At 35.9% G+C, this 17,619-nt stretch overlaps 1 protein-coding gene across 17 annotated transcripts in view; it reads right to left on the minus strand.

Moving 5' to 3' along the window:
- ARAP2 (ArfGAP with RhoGAP domain, ankyrin repeat and PH domain 2) overlaps positions 1 to 17,619 on the minus strand; it is a 239,381-nt gene that overhangs the window by 166,598 nt on the left and 55,164 nt on the right. For 16 of the 17 annotated variants that reach the window (XR_007096351.1, XR_007096352.1, XR_007096353.1 and 13 more), the window contains exons 8-9: positions 15,450 to 15,570; positions 5,826 to 6,004 (exon numbers count right to left, since the gene is read on the minus strand). Coding sequence is in view for 7 of the 17 variants with exons in the window: in XM_047449575.1 (XP_047305531.1) it covers positions 5,826 to 6,004; positions 15,450 to 15,570 (300 nt within the window). In the remaining 10 variants the exon portion in view is untranslated. Of the gene's footprint in view, positions 1 to 5,825; positions 6,005 to 15,449; positions 15,571 to 17,619 lie in introns of those variants that run through there. The other variant, XR_001741123.2, reaches the window with a different exon arrangement.

The following is a 17,619-nucleotide window of genomic DNA, read 5'->3' on the forward strand; positions in this document are numbered from 1 at the left end:
ATGCTATAAACTGGATTGAAAAAAACAGTAGCACAAAAATTCAGTGGGTAGAGTTATAGTATTATAGAAAGCAGAAGGCTGAAAATAGATTCTGAAGTAAGCAATATTTTAAATTTAATTTGCTGTGATAGAACGTAGGTTGTCAAGAATCATGAATCCCACTAAAATAACAATGGCTATGCTTAGCTTAGCAGATCTGGCCACTGCAAGGGTGGTACAATGACCATGTAGGCACTGCAGGTCAGGCCTAGGGAGAATCGAAGCTGACCCATTTACTGGCTGTTTGATCACTGGCAAGTTATTTAGTTTATGTAGACCTCAGTTTCCTTATTTATGAAAATAGTCAGGTCTACCTTACATGGTATTATTATAAAGAGTAAATAAAGCAACATAAATTAAGGGTCTGATACATCCACTTAATTCTTTCATTTGAGGGTTCTAAAAGCAGAATTTATCTTCAATATAAATATTTCCATTTTTTAATAATTACAGAAAGTATTCATACCATTGATTCCATATTAAACATTCGGATAAAATTAATGGTAAATATTTACCAAGATACTGAAACGGGTTATTCTTATGAATTTGCAGCAACAGGACCTGGCGAAAACTACATTTTAAAACTACACAGTGAAAGAGGAAAATACAAAACTGACTCCTAAAAAGAAAAATAGGGAAGGGTTTGTTAACCCCAAATCTGCTGAAATCTCAAACCTATTTTTGGAATTACTGGATGCCAGGTTTCCATGCCAGGAATTTAAGAACTCGGTGCTTAAACATTTGTTGAAAACAGATGTGGCATTGTATGACATTGGCACCAGCTTTCCTGGGAAACACCAGATGCAGAGTTGGGCCAGATACAAAACCCAGAGAATTTGAGGCCACCACCTCCATCCTGCTGCTCCTTTCTGTGCCACACAACCCATCGCCCTATGAGGTCTATTTAAATTCTATTAGAGTTTCACTCCCATGCCAGAACACCAGGGAACATTATGTTGGGGGGGAATGAGGGAGGATGAGTCTCTTGTTATACCCTGATTTGAGAATGTTTAATCAAGTGAGTTTATGTAGTTTAAACCTCAATGCCACAATTATCATCAAATGGATACCCAAACCCACCAAGCAAGACATCTGGTTGTAATGAATTCATTAATATTAACATGATATTAAAAAAAAGTATCAAGAGAAGAAGGGAGACGGGCTGTCAGGACAACAGAACAAATGGAAACCAACGCCAATTGTCTTAACTCTTCCTCTTGTACGCTTGCAGAAATTCCTTTCAACTAGCAATACCACTTATTTAAGAATTCATATATTTAAATATATGTCCATATTTGATTACCTTATTTAAACTTTTAAAAAATTCTGACTTACACACTATACACCTATCATTTAAAGATAAATAATTTACAAAATAATTTTTGTTCCAGAATACGGAAGCTCTATCAGCTTTGAACAGATTAAAAAACAGTTTAGGACATAGACAAAATTTCTGCAAAACAAAAAGGAACCGACAAATGAAAAGCAAACAAAATAGTTCAGAAAAAAATTGTAGAAAATATGAAGATTCATGTCTTTCTTAAAGAACATAAAGTAATTAGCAAGAAATACATAAGATCCCAATAAATAAATGGACAAAGAAGATGAAGAGACAATTTGAGAAAAAAAAATTTTAAAGCGAATTGGAGGAAAAAAAACTCTTCTGTGAAAATAAAAACAGCTATAAATGATCATTAATTCAACAAGTTCACCCTACCTATGTTTACTGAGTGCTAGCTTATTGCCTGAGGATACAGCAGTGAATAAAGTAAATATTCACACTGTCAATTTGGGAATATAAAAATGATAAATCTAACACTTTTAAGGTTATAATGTAACTGGATTCCTATCACATAGCTGTAACATTTTAAATGTAAACTACTCTTGAGGAACAGCTCATAGGAATTCTTGCCAATAATAATCATCATCATCATCAGAAAGGAAGACAAGGCTACATATAGAAGGTTACCAGAAACCTAATTTATTTATTTGACATTATGTGTTACCCCTTCAGGAAGGCCCCAGAAAGCAGAGATCTTGTGGGTTACCACTGTACCTCTAGTTTCTAGAGCAGTGCCCAGAAATGAGAAGATGCCCCCTGCATGTGTCATGTGGATGAATGAATCCAGAAACATGGTCACTACAGTGTAACCTATACAAACCCAATTACACAGCTCATTTTAAACAATGCTGAAATAATATGGAAAAACTGTCATATTATAACACATTGCAGGCATCCAAAACATAAGCAGAGATAAGGAATGGGAGAAAATGTGCAAAAATTAAAGCAGAATGCAGTTGTGAAATGGTGCTAAATATTTAAGGGATGACATTTAATTTATGTGATATTAGCACCCCACTGTTTTGCAGCATGGTAATTAGGTAAAGAATCTGAGTGTCAGTTTTTACTATGCCATTTTCTACTCTAACAAATGTTTTTACAAATATTTTCATAGTTATTTTCCACTTCTTCTTAAAGCCTAAAGATAGGCTTTAAGAAGAAAACTGAGAGCAGTGTTTTACAATGTGTGTTTTTGGCTCATCCATCACAGAATCACCTGGGGTGCTTTTTTGTGAATTCAGATTCTACAACCCCTTTCCAGAAATTCTGAATTAACAAATCTGAAATGAGCTCAGAAATGTGGAATTTTAACAAGCAACCTAAGTAATGGCCTTAGAGATAGTAATCCATCTCCCTTCTTCACATGATGCCATTTAAACCTGAAGAGACTAACTTAATTACCAGAGCCAATTAGTAGCAGAACAAGAATAAAAACCCACAACTGCAACCTCCCAGTCCAATCTTCTTTGCAATAAATGAGATTCCTCTTTAAAAAACTCTTCAACATTTGCTGTAATAGCTACACTTCCACCTCTAGCCATTGTCTGTTTACTCTCTCTGGAGTAACTGCCAAAGTAAATTACTAAAACTATGTATAAATTAGAGGCAAGAAAAATAAAAATAGTTCCTATGTTAGGGTAGTGTAGGTCAATTTCATTATTTTTTATTCTATTCATGCTATTAAGTTATGTGGGCAATAAATCCCATTTTAAAATAAAAGTAAGCCTTGTTGCATGTCACTAAATCCAACACAAATTAAGATACAGAGGTTCAAATCTCACATCACTTACATTTTTATGATGAATAGATTTTTTTCATCACCTTGAAAGGATACACAAGATTACTGTGTGTGTTTGTATAAAATTTTCGAAGTTGCATCAAATCATCTTACTATTGTTTAGTGCTTTTCCTAAAACACAGGTTGATGCCCACACTGGCAGAAAGCCCTCTGCACTGAGGAGGAAGACCCTTTACTCAGCATGTCACCAGGTTTTTCACATGTGCTCTATCACGGGAGAAAACCAATGGGCAACTTTCCTCTGGGGAAAAAGGCACATACCAGGATGCGAAAATACATGAAAACGGAATGGTATGCCAGGGCCTGAACGTGGACGGCCTTCCTTATCGGCTCATTCTTGAGCCAACTCATCCTTTAAGACTGACTAAAGACCAAGTCCCTTAAGACCTGAATCTATATGATATAATGCAATTTAAAAAAAACACACACATATACACAAACAATAGTATACATTTTAAAGGTGTGTGTGTGTATATATATGTATATATGTACGTTAACGCATAGAAAAGAACTTGTATACAAGCATAAAAATGTTTACTTATCAAAAGATGGAGAGGGGTTCAGCCTTAATGCTTTAATTTTTAAGGAGAATATACTCATTTCTCATGTATATGGAAATGCTTCTAATTCACTGACTTCATCAGATGCCCTTTTTTTGCACCTCTCTGTAACTCCTGTACAACCTATTATTGCACTGACCTCACCATCCATCATATATTCTGGTCTTGTTTGACTTTTCCTCTTGGAAGACAAGACTTGTGTCCTTCTCAGTAAACCCATCATTTTTAGTGTGCCTGACATGGTATACAATGTTTATTGAAAGCATACCCTGAAACTCCTGGGCAACTAAATTATTCAATGAAAGAATCCTTAGGCTATTTCTAAAAGTTCACAAGTCAGAAAATTTCTCTTCAACCTAGACTTTAAAAAGGAAGTTTGTAGAGTGGTTAAGAAGCTAGAATTAGAGTTATACTGTTCCGGTTTTAAACTCAACTCTGCATTATAAACTGTAATTCCTAGACCTATTACTTAATCCTCATTTTCCTCATCTACAAAACATAGACAAAAATGTCTTCCTCCTATATTTGTGGTGAAGATTAAAAGGAAATGTCTACTGTACCTGGTACTCAGCAAACAGTATTCATTATGCTTTTCACACTCAATTCCTAATACTAAGGCAATAATTTCATGTACATTTTCACTAATCAGAAAGTGTTAATAAAACTTTTAAAATATTTATCTTATTCCTAGAGAATAACAGAAACTCAGACAGTTTAATGTGAGCAATGAAACTAATCATTTGAACTCTATGCAAGTCTATCAGGTCTTGCTATCAGGTCTATGCAAGTATAAACTGAATACCTTAGTTAATTTGGCAGAGTAACTTCCATACAGATACATGCAAATTATGTATTTTTAACCTCCATTCCAATAAGAAAAGTTGTAATCATCTTATTTTGTAGACTGAAATGTTCATATTCAATTTGTATACATTATTAAACTATGCTTGAGGAATATGCTAACTACCCACATTATTAATAAGCCAAGAGTGCTTGATGATGCCTTCAACTGTTAATTGGCTAAGACATCTTCTCCTCCAAAATATTTAATGTGTAAGTTCACACTAAAGTTCAGAGGATGCCTATAGTTAATTGTTCTGAAACTACTATTTGTTTTGATATTCCTATTTTTCTTATAAAAAATAGTCAGCATTTATATTCCACCTTACTATAACCCATAATGATGTATCATAAAATGAGTTCATCTTAGATCAGCTATCCAAAGTGCACAGTTCAATTCCACAATTACTAAGCATCTAATATATTCTAGGCTGAAGGATTTTAAAAGGAGTTCTTCCAAAAAAAAAGGGGTAAAGAATTATATATTATACATATTAAAAACATATACATATTAAAAACAAGGAATTTTAGAAAAAAGAAAGTCTACAGAATCAAACAAAGCTAACAGGATTTGTTAAAATTTTAGTTTACCATCAGACTCATCAAAACATTTAAATACTCTATTGAGTCCTTTGACATTAATCAAATTTAGTAAACCAATAATTTTAATCGATTTTATTTATGTAGATGTGCGTGTATAGCTAGATGTATGTATGTATGTGCACTTGAATTTGTACTTATATAGACGTGTGTGTGTATACATATATACCTTACATACATCTGTTCAAAATAAAACAGACCAATAATATTCTGTAAACTCAAGCAAATATGTTACCTGTGCTTACCCTATAATTTTCTATCACAAAAAATAAAAGCAGCACAGGGTGCAGAACTGGTCCTATTTCATCAACAGCTGTAAGGGTTCATTGGTCCTTAATTGTTCTCTCATGTAGTCGTACAATGTCATTTCAACTAAATAAGACTTTTCAAAAATTATTTTCAATAATTTTACTTCCTCAATACCACAAAAGGTGATGTCCAGTTTCAAGTTTGATGGAGGTACTTTCTTGCTGGTGGAGACACCAAGAAAATTCAACAAAATCACTATTTCTTTGGTATATTTAGTGGAGTACACAATGCTAAAACAAGACTCTATAAGTAAAATCACTAATAATCCTTCCAAACAAAACATAGTTGTTACTATAATAAAATAGCAGCAATTTGCAATGACTATAACAGAGCTCACCTGTTCGTTTTTGCAAAGCCACACACTGTTTCCACTTAACACAGTAAAAATTTTTGCCTTATAGCCTCTCAATTCAAGATATCCACATTTCTCAGGTGTAACAACAGCTTGAGACTGCGAGGTAAGGGATTGTGATTTCAGTGCATTTAATAGTATGCTGATCCAGTCATTTCTCTCCTCTGAAAATGAAGACAGGAGAAAATACATAAATCCACATATAAGTTACATAGACACAGAAACGTCAAGAAGAAATCCATGCCCTTTGCAACACATAAGTGACAGATTCTTTCCCACAACCACAATCTAAATGCTACTGTAAACAGAGCCAATGACTCAATTCTTTGAGGGAAAAGGAGTAACAATATCCAGTTGTCTTGAAATCAGTTCCACTGGCTTTACCTGAGAGTTTATTAGAAATGCAAAATCTCAGGCCCTACTCCAGATCTGATGAATCACAGGCTGTATTTTAAAAAGAACTGCAGATGCTCTGTATCCCTGTTAATATCTGAGAAGCCCTCTTTTAGATCACTCATGAGATTAGATTTTCTTTTAATAGAAGAATGTGATATTGCTACCCAACAATTAACAGATTGTATGTGGCAAGTCAGTTACTCAAAGACCCCGAAAATCCTACTTCCAATCACTTGGAACCTGCTCTAGAGTATGCCTGCTTCAGTGTCACTTACCCATTCCACTCTCACCACAGTAAATAACAATAGCATTTCACCTGGCAAATTAAAATTTGGTTCTCCTACTCCTTCCACAAAAGCTAAGTGACCTTCAATTATGAACAATGCACTGTGTTACAGGCATAGGAATTCGATCTAGTCCCCAAGGAGCAATTAAAGCTATAAGTCAAGCAAGATTTGAACACATAATGGAACACAGTAGTATAAACGTCATATAAATGGTATGAAATAATATATGAGTCAATTGAGATAAGTGATTTGCTGAAGGTCATATAGCAAGTTAGTATTAAAGTGAGGAGAATCAAATGTTTTAACTCTCGAACAACTTTTCTTGAAACTATGGGGGTAAAAAAGAGGTATATGTGGTAGATCTTGAGGATGAAGAGCAATTCAAAAGACTAAACTGGAATTTGGAAGAGGGAAGAGAATAGGATTTTGAGCAGAGGTTACCAGAAGAACAAAGGCAGAAAAACCAACATCCATTCAGGGATTAATTTATCAATGAATACATTTATAACTCTGAACTCACACGAAAAAAATGGGAAATATGACCAGGGAATTCATACTGCCTGTTTAGGAATGTTGTCTTTATTACAGAGGCAAAAGAAAACCATTTCACCATTTTTAGCAATAAAAAGACATTATAATAATACAGACAATGACAGGTAGACCATACTGGAAGCCTGAAGATCAGGGACCAGGCAATGAAGGCTTAAAATACTGTGAAAATTGAAATACAATGACTAATGAGGAATTAAGGCATTTAGGAGAGTGAAAAAAATTAGTTGTATACATATGATGGGTGTTGATAAGAAAAACAAATTACTCAGAATAAAAGGTAACGTGGCATCAGAAATTGGCCAGGCGAAGAAGGAGAATCCAATTAGTTAACAGAACAACCTCAGGTTTTCAGTGCCGTGGCATGCGCATCCACGCAGACTCATAGCACTATGTGAACAACAGTAACCTGTACGTAAGAAGACCCATGGAAATGAATTAACATAGAGTGTAAAAGGAGAAGAAACTGGCAAACCTTGAGGTACAACTATATCTATAAGGCTGGAAATTGGGCTACCAGAACATATGGAGAAGTAGTTATCAAAGCAAAAGGAAATAAAGCAAAACATACTGAATCACGAGTAGTAAAAGCTTTCACAGGATGAAGGAGGAAGAGAAAGCAGAGCCCAGTTTGGGAAATGGGACAGTTTCTCAGATCCTTCTCAGACAGGTCTGCCCAGTGACTTCATTATGGATTGAAGTAAGTCTCCGTATTACACTTACTCATATTCAAACTTGAATCCAAAGTTATTTCATAATGAGTCTTTTTCAATTATCATTGTTCTTGTTCGCCTTCAAAACTAATAAAAACAGTTGATTGTGTCTTTAATCACCAAAGTCAAAATGTTTATTAAAAAACTCATTCGATAGTGCTTTATTGCAGGTGTTACATAATCTTCCAGATATTTGTGCTTGATGGCTGGGTGTGGTGTCCCACACCCGTAATCCCAGCACTCTGGGAGGCCAAGAGGGGAGGAACATTTGAGGTCAGGAGCTCAAGACCAGCCTGGCCAACATGGTGACACCCGGTCTATACTAAAACTACACACACAAAAATTAGCTGGGCATGGTGGCAGTAATCCAAGCAACTCAGGAGGCTGAGGCATGAGAATAGCTTGAACCTGGGAGACTGAGGTTGCAGTGAGCCCAGATCATGCCACTGCACTCCAGCCTGGGCAACAAGAGCAAAACTTCGTCCCCCCGCTCCCCCGCCAAAAAAAAAAGAATTGGTGCTTGTTGCAATATATCAGGATGAAATATTTATCAAATGTCCCTAGCATTGTTATACATCATAAACCAAAAGACATTAAAATATTCAAGTAGCTAAGTCAATGTCCATATGCAGCAGCTATTCTACATTTTTCCATCTACATAAACAGATCCAGATTGTACTACAATAATTTATTACATTTTCAGTTACAGCAACAGAACTTCCACTTAACCTGGTTATTACTTGTGATCGTTAGTTTCACGTAAGATATTCCTGCCGAATAAATGGTACATAATGGTTTTTGTTTGTTTCTTTATTTGTGCTAACCCATATAAATCACTGTGTTTGAAATGTAGGTCATAATTTAATGAGTTGGGCCTAAGTGTCTATGGCTTTTAGATTACTGTTAGCATATATTTCAGTTTCTCAGGAATTACTTTAAAACTGGCAATTGCATCTGTTGGAATTAACCTTACTTTGGCTGCATCTCAACACATAGCCTAGAAGAATTATCTAGCTCCTGAGGGACTCAGTTACTAATAGGAAGTAAACAGTCACGAAGAAGAACAGGAATTAATAGTAGCATTCAGTTTATTCTGAATTAGCCATGTCAATGGAAAGGAACAACGGAACAGATAATCTAAACACAATAAAATAGATTACAAGTGTCAACTGTATTTGGCCGTGCAATGTGTGCATCCTGAGATATGGGGGAATATGCTTTGATAAGTCACAATATTCCAAACCAAATAATGATTTCCCATTGGACAAGAGTCTAGGGTAAAGTTAGATACTGTGCTAGCTTTTGCCTGTTCTTCAAACCAAGATACTTCTTATTCTTACCGATAACAAATATCTATTGAGTGTCTATCTTGATCTTAGCACTGTGCTAAGCACCAATCCTCCTGGAAACAAGCTCTGACCTACATATGGCTTGGCTCTAAGAATAGCATTCCAGGCTGGACAAAAAGAAAGGGAGTGGGGAAAGCAAAGAATAAGTGTTGAAATTGCCATTTTCTTGTGATTATGCTAGAATGTAAATACAAAACAATAGTAAATTCCTAAAACCTCAAATTAGTTCTTGATGTTTTCAGGAATGCCAGCTTAGAGTATAAGAATTAAAAAAAAAAGAGGTTTAAGAAAAATCGAGACAATATTCTCTGGACTACTGGGTTTAGCAGTAGGCATACTCCTTAATAACAAGGGATTGGTTATACTAGAGATTACTACATAAGGGCCATGCAAAACATCAACAACATTATCTAATAAAGTTTAGCTGGACCTTTACTTCTGATATGTTAATATGATCTGACTAAAGTTCCCTCAATGAAATTCCTGATCAATATCAGAGAAGGAAGTAGTGCACATAAGTGTTGTTCTTCAAATTGATAACCAATCACTCACACAAATATTTACTAAGCCTATTATGTTCCCAAACCTATTCTGAATACCAGGAATGGAGCAGTGAACAAGACTGACCATGACCTTATTCTCCTGGAGTTTACACTCTAGTGAAAGGAGGAAGGCCATAAAAACTTAAATATACATTACACAGTGGCAAGTGCAATTGGGTACCTTAAACACAAGATGGGGGGCCCAGGGAGTATTATTTTGTACAGGATACATAAGAAGCCTCAGAAGAAGGGGATGGTTAGCCAAAAGCCTGATGGGAAAGGAAGTAAAGAAGCAGGTCCAGCTGAGGAGCAGGCTGGAGGAAGAGCATTCTAGGATAAGGTGAACATGTAACAAGGCCCTGAGACAACAGCAGATTTGGTATATTCAAGGAACAAAAGGCCCTGGTAGGTGAACCAACCACAGTACAGGAGAAAGGGAACACAAAAAGATAAGGACAGAAAGACCAAGGCCAGATCATGCGGGGTTTTTGGACCTCACAAGTACTTTTTACTCTCAGTAAGATGCAGAAACTGGCCGGGCATGGTGGCTCACGCCTGTAATCCCAGCACTTTGGTAGGCCAAGGCTGGCAAATCACGAGGTCAGGATATTGAGACCATCCTGGCTAACACGGTGAAACCCGAGCTCCACTAAAAATACAAAAAATTAGCCGTGCATGTTGGCACACGCCCATAGTCCCAGCTACTTCGGAGGCTGAGGTAGGAGAATCGCTTGCTTGAACCAGGGAGGTGGAGTTTGCAGTGAGCCGAGATTGTGCCACTGCACTCCAGCCTGTGTGACAGAGCGAGACTCCATCTCTAAATAAATAAATAAATAAATAAATAAATAAATAAATAAGATGCAGAATCCATGGAGCGTAAAGTGAACTGACATGATTTGACCTTCGTATTAAATAACTGCTCTGACAAGTACAGGAAAAATGTGATGACAGCTGATCTCATGAGATGATTAAAATAATCCTGATAGCAGTGGAGTTGTTGAGAATTGGTCAGGATCTAAACACATTTTCTAAGTCAAACTGATGGACTAGATATGAAGTGAGAAGAAAAAGATTCAAGAATAACTGCATACTTCACGGCCTAAGCACCTGAGGCTTCTATTTGCTGAGATGAGGAAGATTACAAGGGAGAAAGTTTGGTTGAGAGGGTGGAAATGGGAATTTTGATATGCCAAGTGTGAGGTGTTACTAGGCACCCATGTTGGCATGTCAAGTAGGCTGCTGAATATATGACTGTGGAGTACAGGAAGAGGTCAGGATGGAGATACACATTTGACATCAGTCACCCTAAAACCAAGAGATCGCCTTTAAAACCAGACTTGGGGCCCCACAATCGAGTATTTTAAACAGAATTTGGAGTCCTAGCAAGTTCCTAAAATACATTACGTCAGAAACTTCCAGAATATCATAATGAAGTCTTCAAAGGAAACACTTAGCAAACCATCATTAATGAGACTAAGGAGGGTGAGTTAAGTAAAGGGATAGTAAATGTTTCATGCCTTGCTTTGAAAAACATTGAAGATTTCAAAAGAGGTAAGAGTCTGCTTGCCCAGAAAAACTAAGGGGGGCATTCTTATGTTCTTTTTAAAATTTTTTTTAATTAAAAAAAAAGACTTTTCCATATCAGTATCAGAGCTGCCACTGGATGGCTGTATGATGTTGTCTAAAAGCAGAACTGAGAGAATAACACACGTGCATGTTTCCCACGGGGTCTAGAATCTGCTAAGATGGACAGAAGCACAGGGCCTGCAGGTGAGCACCAGTTCTGAAAATGGCCTTGGAAAGGGAATGCCCACTCAAAATTCTTAAGCTCTCTTCTAAGCACCAGAACTGTGCACTCAAAACATCACGAGTGTTTTGAAGTATCACATCTCCATGTGTGACTGCAGGTGCAAAGGAATACAGACTGATTGGAGAGATCAATAGCTGTTATGATCCACAGACGAATTCCAGTGACTCTGCTTGAGAACAACAGGAGTCAGACTTAATTTCGTACTTTGGGAAGTGTATTTTTTAAATGTTATTATTTCAATAAAATTCACTTGCAACTAAGAGAAGAACAATGTTTCATTAGGAAATTAGCCGGGGAGGGATAGGAGCCTTAGAAAACTCGTGAGGAAAAGATTCCAAACTATAATCCTGTCTTAGTAACACCAGGGGGTGATGGAGCAGTTTAGAAATAACAACACTGGTCAGGGAAGACAAAGAATAGCTATTGTATATAGATCATTCAAAGCCTTATCACCAAAAGTAAAGAATTCATGTCTGTTAAGACGCCAAAACTTTCCCCTTTTTGTTCTAAACTTTAATTTTGCTTCTTCACTCAATCAAAATAGACTTGAATTTAGCTTCAAGTTTATTAAGTTAAAGTCCTTAAGCCACTCTAGTTGATCTACCAGTTCCCACAAAATAAAAGATAGTTAACCATCTGTATACATAGAAGGAAACTTTATCAAGTGTATTAAGTTTACACTTAATAATACTTTATTAATAACACTTTATTAAGTGTATTAAGTACACTTAATAAAACATATTTAGTGTACTGTTGAAAGTTCCATACAAAACATATAGATGCATAAACATATATATATATATATATACGTACACACACCTCTACACCCACTTATCTTTAAAATCATGAGTTGTTACTATGTAAAAAGAACTTTTAATCAAAATAACTCATTCAGTAATTCCATGTGTATACAGTGTTTTCACTGAAGCAATATGTCTATGGTTTCAAAAATTAAAGACCTACAACTTATTTTAAAAACGAAAAATTTATACTGAAGTTAATGAAATTTTTATACTGCCCCAAGTTTATATCAGAAAGATGAACTATACACCACAGAAGGATTTATCTGTCAATTGTGAACATGCACTTTTTAAACATGTGTGGATTGGTACACTCTACTTAAATAAAACGTGTCTGTTTAACTTTTAATGTGTCAAGTAAATATGGCTAAACAGATTTTCATACAAGTTGGAAGCTGTATTTAGTGTGTCTATCTTAAAATGCAGGCTACATAGCAATGTGAAATTCATTTGGAGAGTCCAAGAGAAAGGTGATAAGCACCTCAAAGAAACAAGCAGTTACCTTTCAGGGTGGTGGAAACCAAACCATAAGGAAAGACTGTCATAATAGTCATTCAAGAGAAGCAATGCCATGTGCTTCAAGAAACACAGTAAGAGAAAAACTCTGATTTCAAATGGAACTCTCATATCAAGTATCACAACTGTGGACAGTTTTCTGAATTTCAGGCAATAATTCACAAAAAGTGGCTCCTCATATAGGTAATTCTAGGTAAAATGCTTGAGGGCAGGGGTTTGCACACTTTGTCTTTGAAAATTCAGATAGTAAACATTTTAGGCTTTACCGGCCACAGTCTGTGCCACAACTACTCAGTGATACCACTGAGTGTGAATGAATGAGAAATGAATGAATGACAATGGTTGTTATCTAACAAGACTTTATTTACCAAAACAGGCACTGAGCCAGATTTAGGCTGCAGATCAGTTTGCTGACCCCTACTCTGGGACTCTAGCTTTCGTTCAACATTATTTTTAAATACTAAGAAACTTTTTTTATGTTACATCTATACACTATGTACATAGATAGGTTTCACAATATAACATCTACTTTAAGCAATGCACTTTGATATTTATTATTTTCTGTTTGGGGTTTGTCTTTTTATTGAGGGAGGGTGTTTCTGGTGACATCATAAACCACTAAGTTGATCTCAGTAATCCACAGTTTGAACAAAGCTGCTCCAGTGTGAAGGCCGGCTGGAATGTACCCATTTATTGAGTACCCCAAGAAACAATGGAAACGTTTTAGTAGTATATAATATTTATTGACTGCTTTTTATGTGCTATGCACTGACATATGTGCCAGGAATCTAGCAGTTAAAAAAAAAGAAAATGTTACCCCATAACAGTTAACACTGTAGTCATTTCCAACTGGTGGTGAACACTCTTATCTGTAAAAATAGGATAATAATGGATGGGCGCAGTGGCTCATGCCTGTAATCCCAGCACTTTGGGAGGCCGAGGTGGGCAGATCACCTGAGATCAGGAGTTCTAGACCAACCTGACCAACATGGTGAAACCCCGTCTCTACTAGATACAAAAAAAAATTAGCTGGGCGTGGTGATGCATGCCTGTAGTCCCAGGTACTTGGGAGGCTGAGCCAGGACAATCGCTTGAACCCATGAGGCGGAGGTTGCAGTGAGCCGAGATTGCGCCATTGCACTCAAGCTTGGGCAACAAGAGTGAAACTCTGTCTCAAAAAAAAAAAAGGATAATAATTTTAATACTACCAACCTTATGAGACTGTTGTGAAAATGAAGACTTAGCAAAGTGTCTGGCACATATCAGGTATTCAGTCAATTTCCCATACCATTATAATTCAAATAATTAAAGCACCAAGAAGTACTTCTAAAAATCAAGTTGAATTATATATCTATTCCTAAATAAAAGTTGTCCATAAAATAAGTTAAATACTAATTCTTAATGCGATGGTATTATCTAAATTATTAAAACCAGTGAATTTATAGTAATGACATATTATGATAGTCAAATAAAATACACAACAGAGAACTTTTAATTTCTCTGGCTCCTCCCCAACCCTTATTCAAACAAAATTCAGAAAATATTTCTCTGTACACATTTAAACTCAATCCAGAAAACATGTGCCATCTTTGGGTCGGCTTTTACCATCAAGTGCCCCATAGATGATATAGATGAAAAGAATTCAAGAAATATAAAAGATGCTCCAAAATCTACCATAGAATGATTACTGTGCCTGTGCGGTCAGCTAAAGCGGGGGTCCCCAAACCCAAGACCATGGACTGGTACCATTACATGGTCTGTTAGGAACAGGGCCACACAGCAGAAGGTGAGCAGCAGGCGAGCCAGTGAAGCTTCATCTGTATCTACAGCCACTCCTGGCTGCATCTATAGCCACCACTGGCATTACTGCCTGAGCTCTGCCTCCTGTCAGATCACAGGTGGCATTAGATTCTCACAGCAGCACAAACTCTACTGTAAAATGTGCATGCAAGGAATTTAGGTTGTGTGCTCCTTATGAGAGTCTAATGCCTGACAATGTCACTGTCTCCCATCAGCCCCAGATGGGGCCATTTAGTTGCAAGAAAACAAGCTCAGGGATCCCACTGATTCTACATTATGGTGAGTTGTATAATTATTTCATTATATACTACAATGTAATAATAACAGAACTAAAACACACAATAAATGTAATGTGCTTCAGTCATCCAGGAACCATCTCCCCACCACCGGTTCATGGAAAAATTGTCTTCCACGAAACCAGTCCCTGGTGCAAAAAAGGTTGGGAACCACTGAGCCTGCCATAAATGTCCATATAACCAACTTAATAGTTAGAAAAATTGTTTTTGCATATCAAATAACTATTTTGCATTATCAAAACAACATCTCAAAGGTTAGCTCCACGAAAGCAGAGAATTGTGTCTACTTTTTTTCACATTGTATATGCAGAACTTATGAGTCCTTAGCACACAATAGGCTCTCATTAAATATTTGTTGCATGAAAGAGGAAACAAATAACTTGTCAACTTATTTATGTTTTAACATTATGCATTTGAAAAATTAATTTTAAAATGTAAATTATCAAAAAGTAATATATTTAAAGGTTTCTTGACATTCCTAGTCTAACTGGTTTATTAATATGATTAGTCAGAAATTAATGTATTTCATATGGATAAATAAATAATCTCACCTTCTTTTTCTACTCTAAAAACAAAAGTTCTTTGTGTTGTAACAACTTCAAATTTGTTGTCTCCTTGAACTCGTACTGTTGATATAGCAGAAAGGGGAATTATTCCTTTCGAATACATCTCCTGTATTGGTTAGAAAAAAAGAGAAGACATATGAAAACGAAATTCTCTTGATCTTATCAAAAAAGAATGGCACAGTATTTATAACTGCTTCTCTTTATAATTTCAATCCAAATTTTTTAAATGCCATACAAGTAATTTGTCCACTCATATTCTCATGTAATACCCTAGAAAAGAAACTATTAAATATCCCCTTCTTTGAAGTGAGATCTTTTCAACTTTCTCTTCATCTGGAATTAAAAGGGAAAGAATCAAATACAAACAATCCTACTAAACTAGCAATACAGAGTTCCAAAAACCAGCAGCATGTTCTTTAAAACAATCTGCTCAAAATGATTTTATGGTGTTTGCAGGCATCTGCTGGCCACAACAGGTACTGTAACTGAACCATTTTGAAACGAGTTTGTTACTTATTAGGAACCAAAATATACCTTAAACACATATCGGGTTTTCTAAATTAACCATGTTACTCAAAGCTCTGATGATGAGCATCTCAACCTCAAACTGTATCATTTTAATTTTTACTCTTCAATGAATAAAGAATAAAAAAAGACAGATTTTTCTGTTTCCAAACAGCATATAAATATTACAAATTTTGTTTAAAAAAGGTCATTCTTAAGACTTCGATAACTTTTTAATCCATCTTCATTTTCCTGGACCCTCTCAAATCATGTCATGATAACTACTGCACAATTTCAACTCTTTATGTTTTCTGGGCCCCGTGTTGGAAAGAAAATTCAGAGTGCTTATACTTTCAAGGAGCCTCAAAATGAAAACCCAGCTACTGCAATGAGAGAAGAGTTTAAAACTGGGTAAAAACTAAGGGATTTAAGAGTACAAAGACGGAAAATCTCAATTCTGCTTAAAGGCTGTGAGGTATACCTTTACAAACATGGTGGTATTTAAATCCGACTTTTAAAAAACCTTAATTTTAACCAGATAGACAAGTGCGTGGGGGGCATTCTAGTCAAAAAGACTAAATAATGGAAGTGTAAGGCAGAGAAATAAGAGGACAACAACATAGAGTCAAAAGATAGGAGGCTGATAACGCATACCAAGGACACATTATAGAAGGTCTGCAATATTAAAAGAGTTTGGATACATCCTTAAGGGATTTCTTTATCTCTTCCCTTCCACAGCGTTATCCTTGGAACCCACACTTTTGAGCAGGTCCCAGATATAACTGATTTGGAAAAAACAGCAAACCATTCCATGCAGGGAGCAAGTACTGAGTTTATATTTCTCCTAGCCATAAATTCCTGCCTTAGCAATTGGTAAGGGACAGTCATCATTAGCATCATGGCATTCTACCAGAAGGATATCCTCTTCTGCTATTTAAGGAGATACACTATATCATCATGGCATTATCTCTGAGTATTTTTTAAGTTTCTTCTCCTTCACTAGCTCTGTTCCAATCTCCCATCCCTGACTTTATTTATCCATCAAAATCCTATCCATTCTTTAATGTAATCTTAAATACCAATGCAATGAAGGCTCTCCTATGTCCTCCCATGCAGCCAAAACTGAGTATGGCAAATGAGCTGTGATTCAGGAAGATGAATGGGCAACCTTATACAGAAAAGAGAGAAGGATGTCAAGAAATAAGCACTTAGTAAACAACTTATTTCTTCTCCTTTTTACTTTATCTTCTCTCCCTATAAAAATCCTTTTCCACTATTTTTTTTTAATTTTCTAAATTAACACATAATAACTGTTCGTATTTATGGGATACATAGTGATGTCATGATACATAGTGATGTCGTGATACATATAAAGTATAATGACCAGAAGAGGTAACAAGCATGTCCATCATCTCAATTATTCATCATCTCTCTGTGTTGGAAACATTCAATATCCTCCTTCTGGCTATTTGAAACTATATTAAATTAGTGTTAACTACAGTCATCCTACAGTGCTATAGAACACTAGGACTTATTCCGCCTCTCTAGCTATAAGTTCCTGCCCTTTAACAAATCTCTCCCTATGTCCTCCTTCTCCCTACCCTTCACAGCCTCTACTATCCTCTGTACTACTTTTTACTTTGGTAAGATT

Source organism: Homo sapiens, chromosome 4, assembly GCF_000001405.40.
Source record: "Homo sapiens chromosome 4, GRCh38.p14 Primary Assembly".
Taxonomy (NCBI): Eukaryota; Metazoa; Chordata; class Mammalia; order Primates; family Hominidae; genus Homo; species Homo sapiens.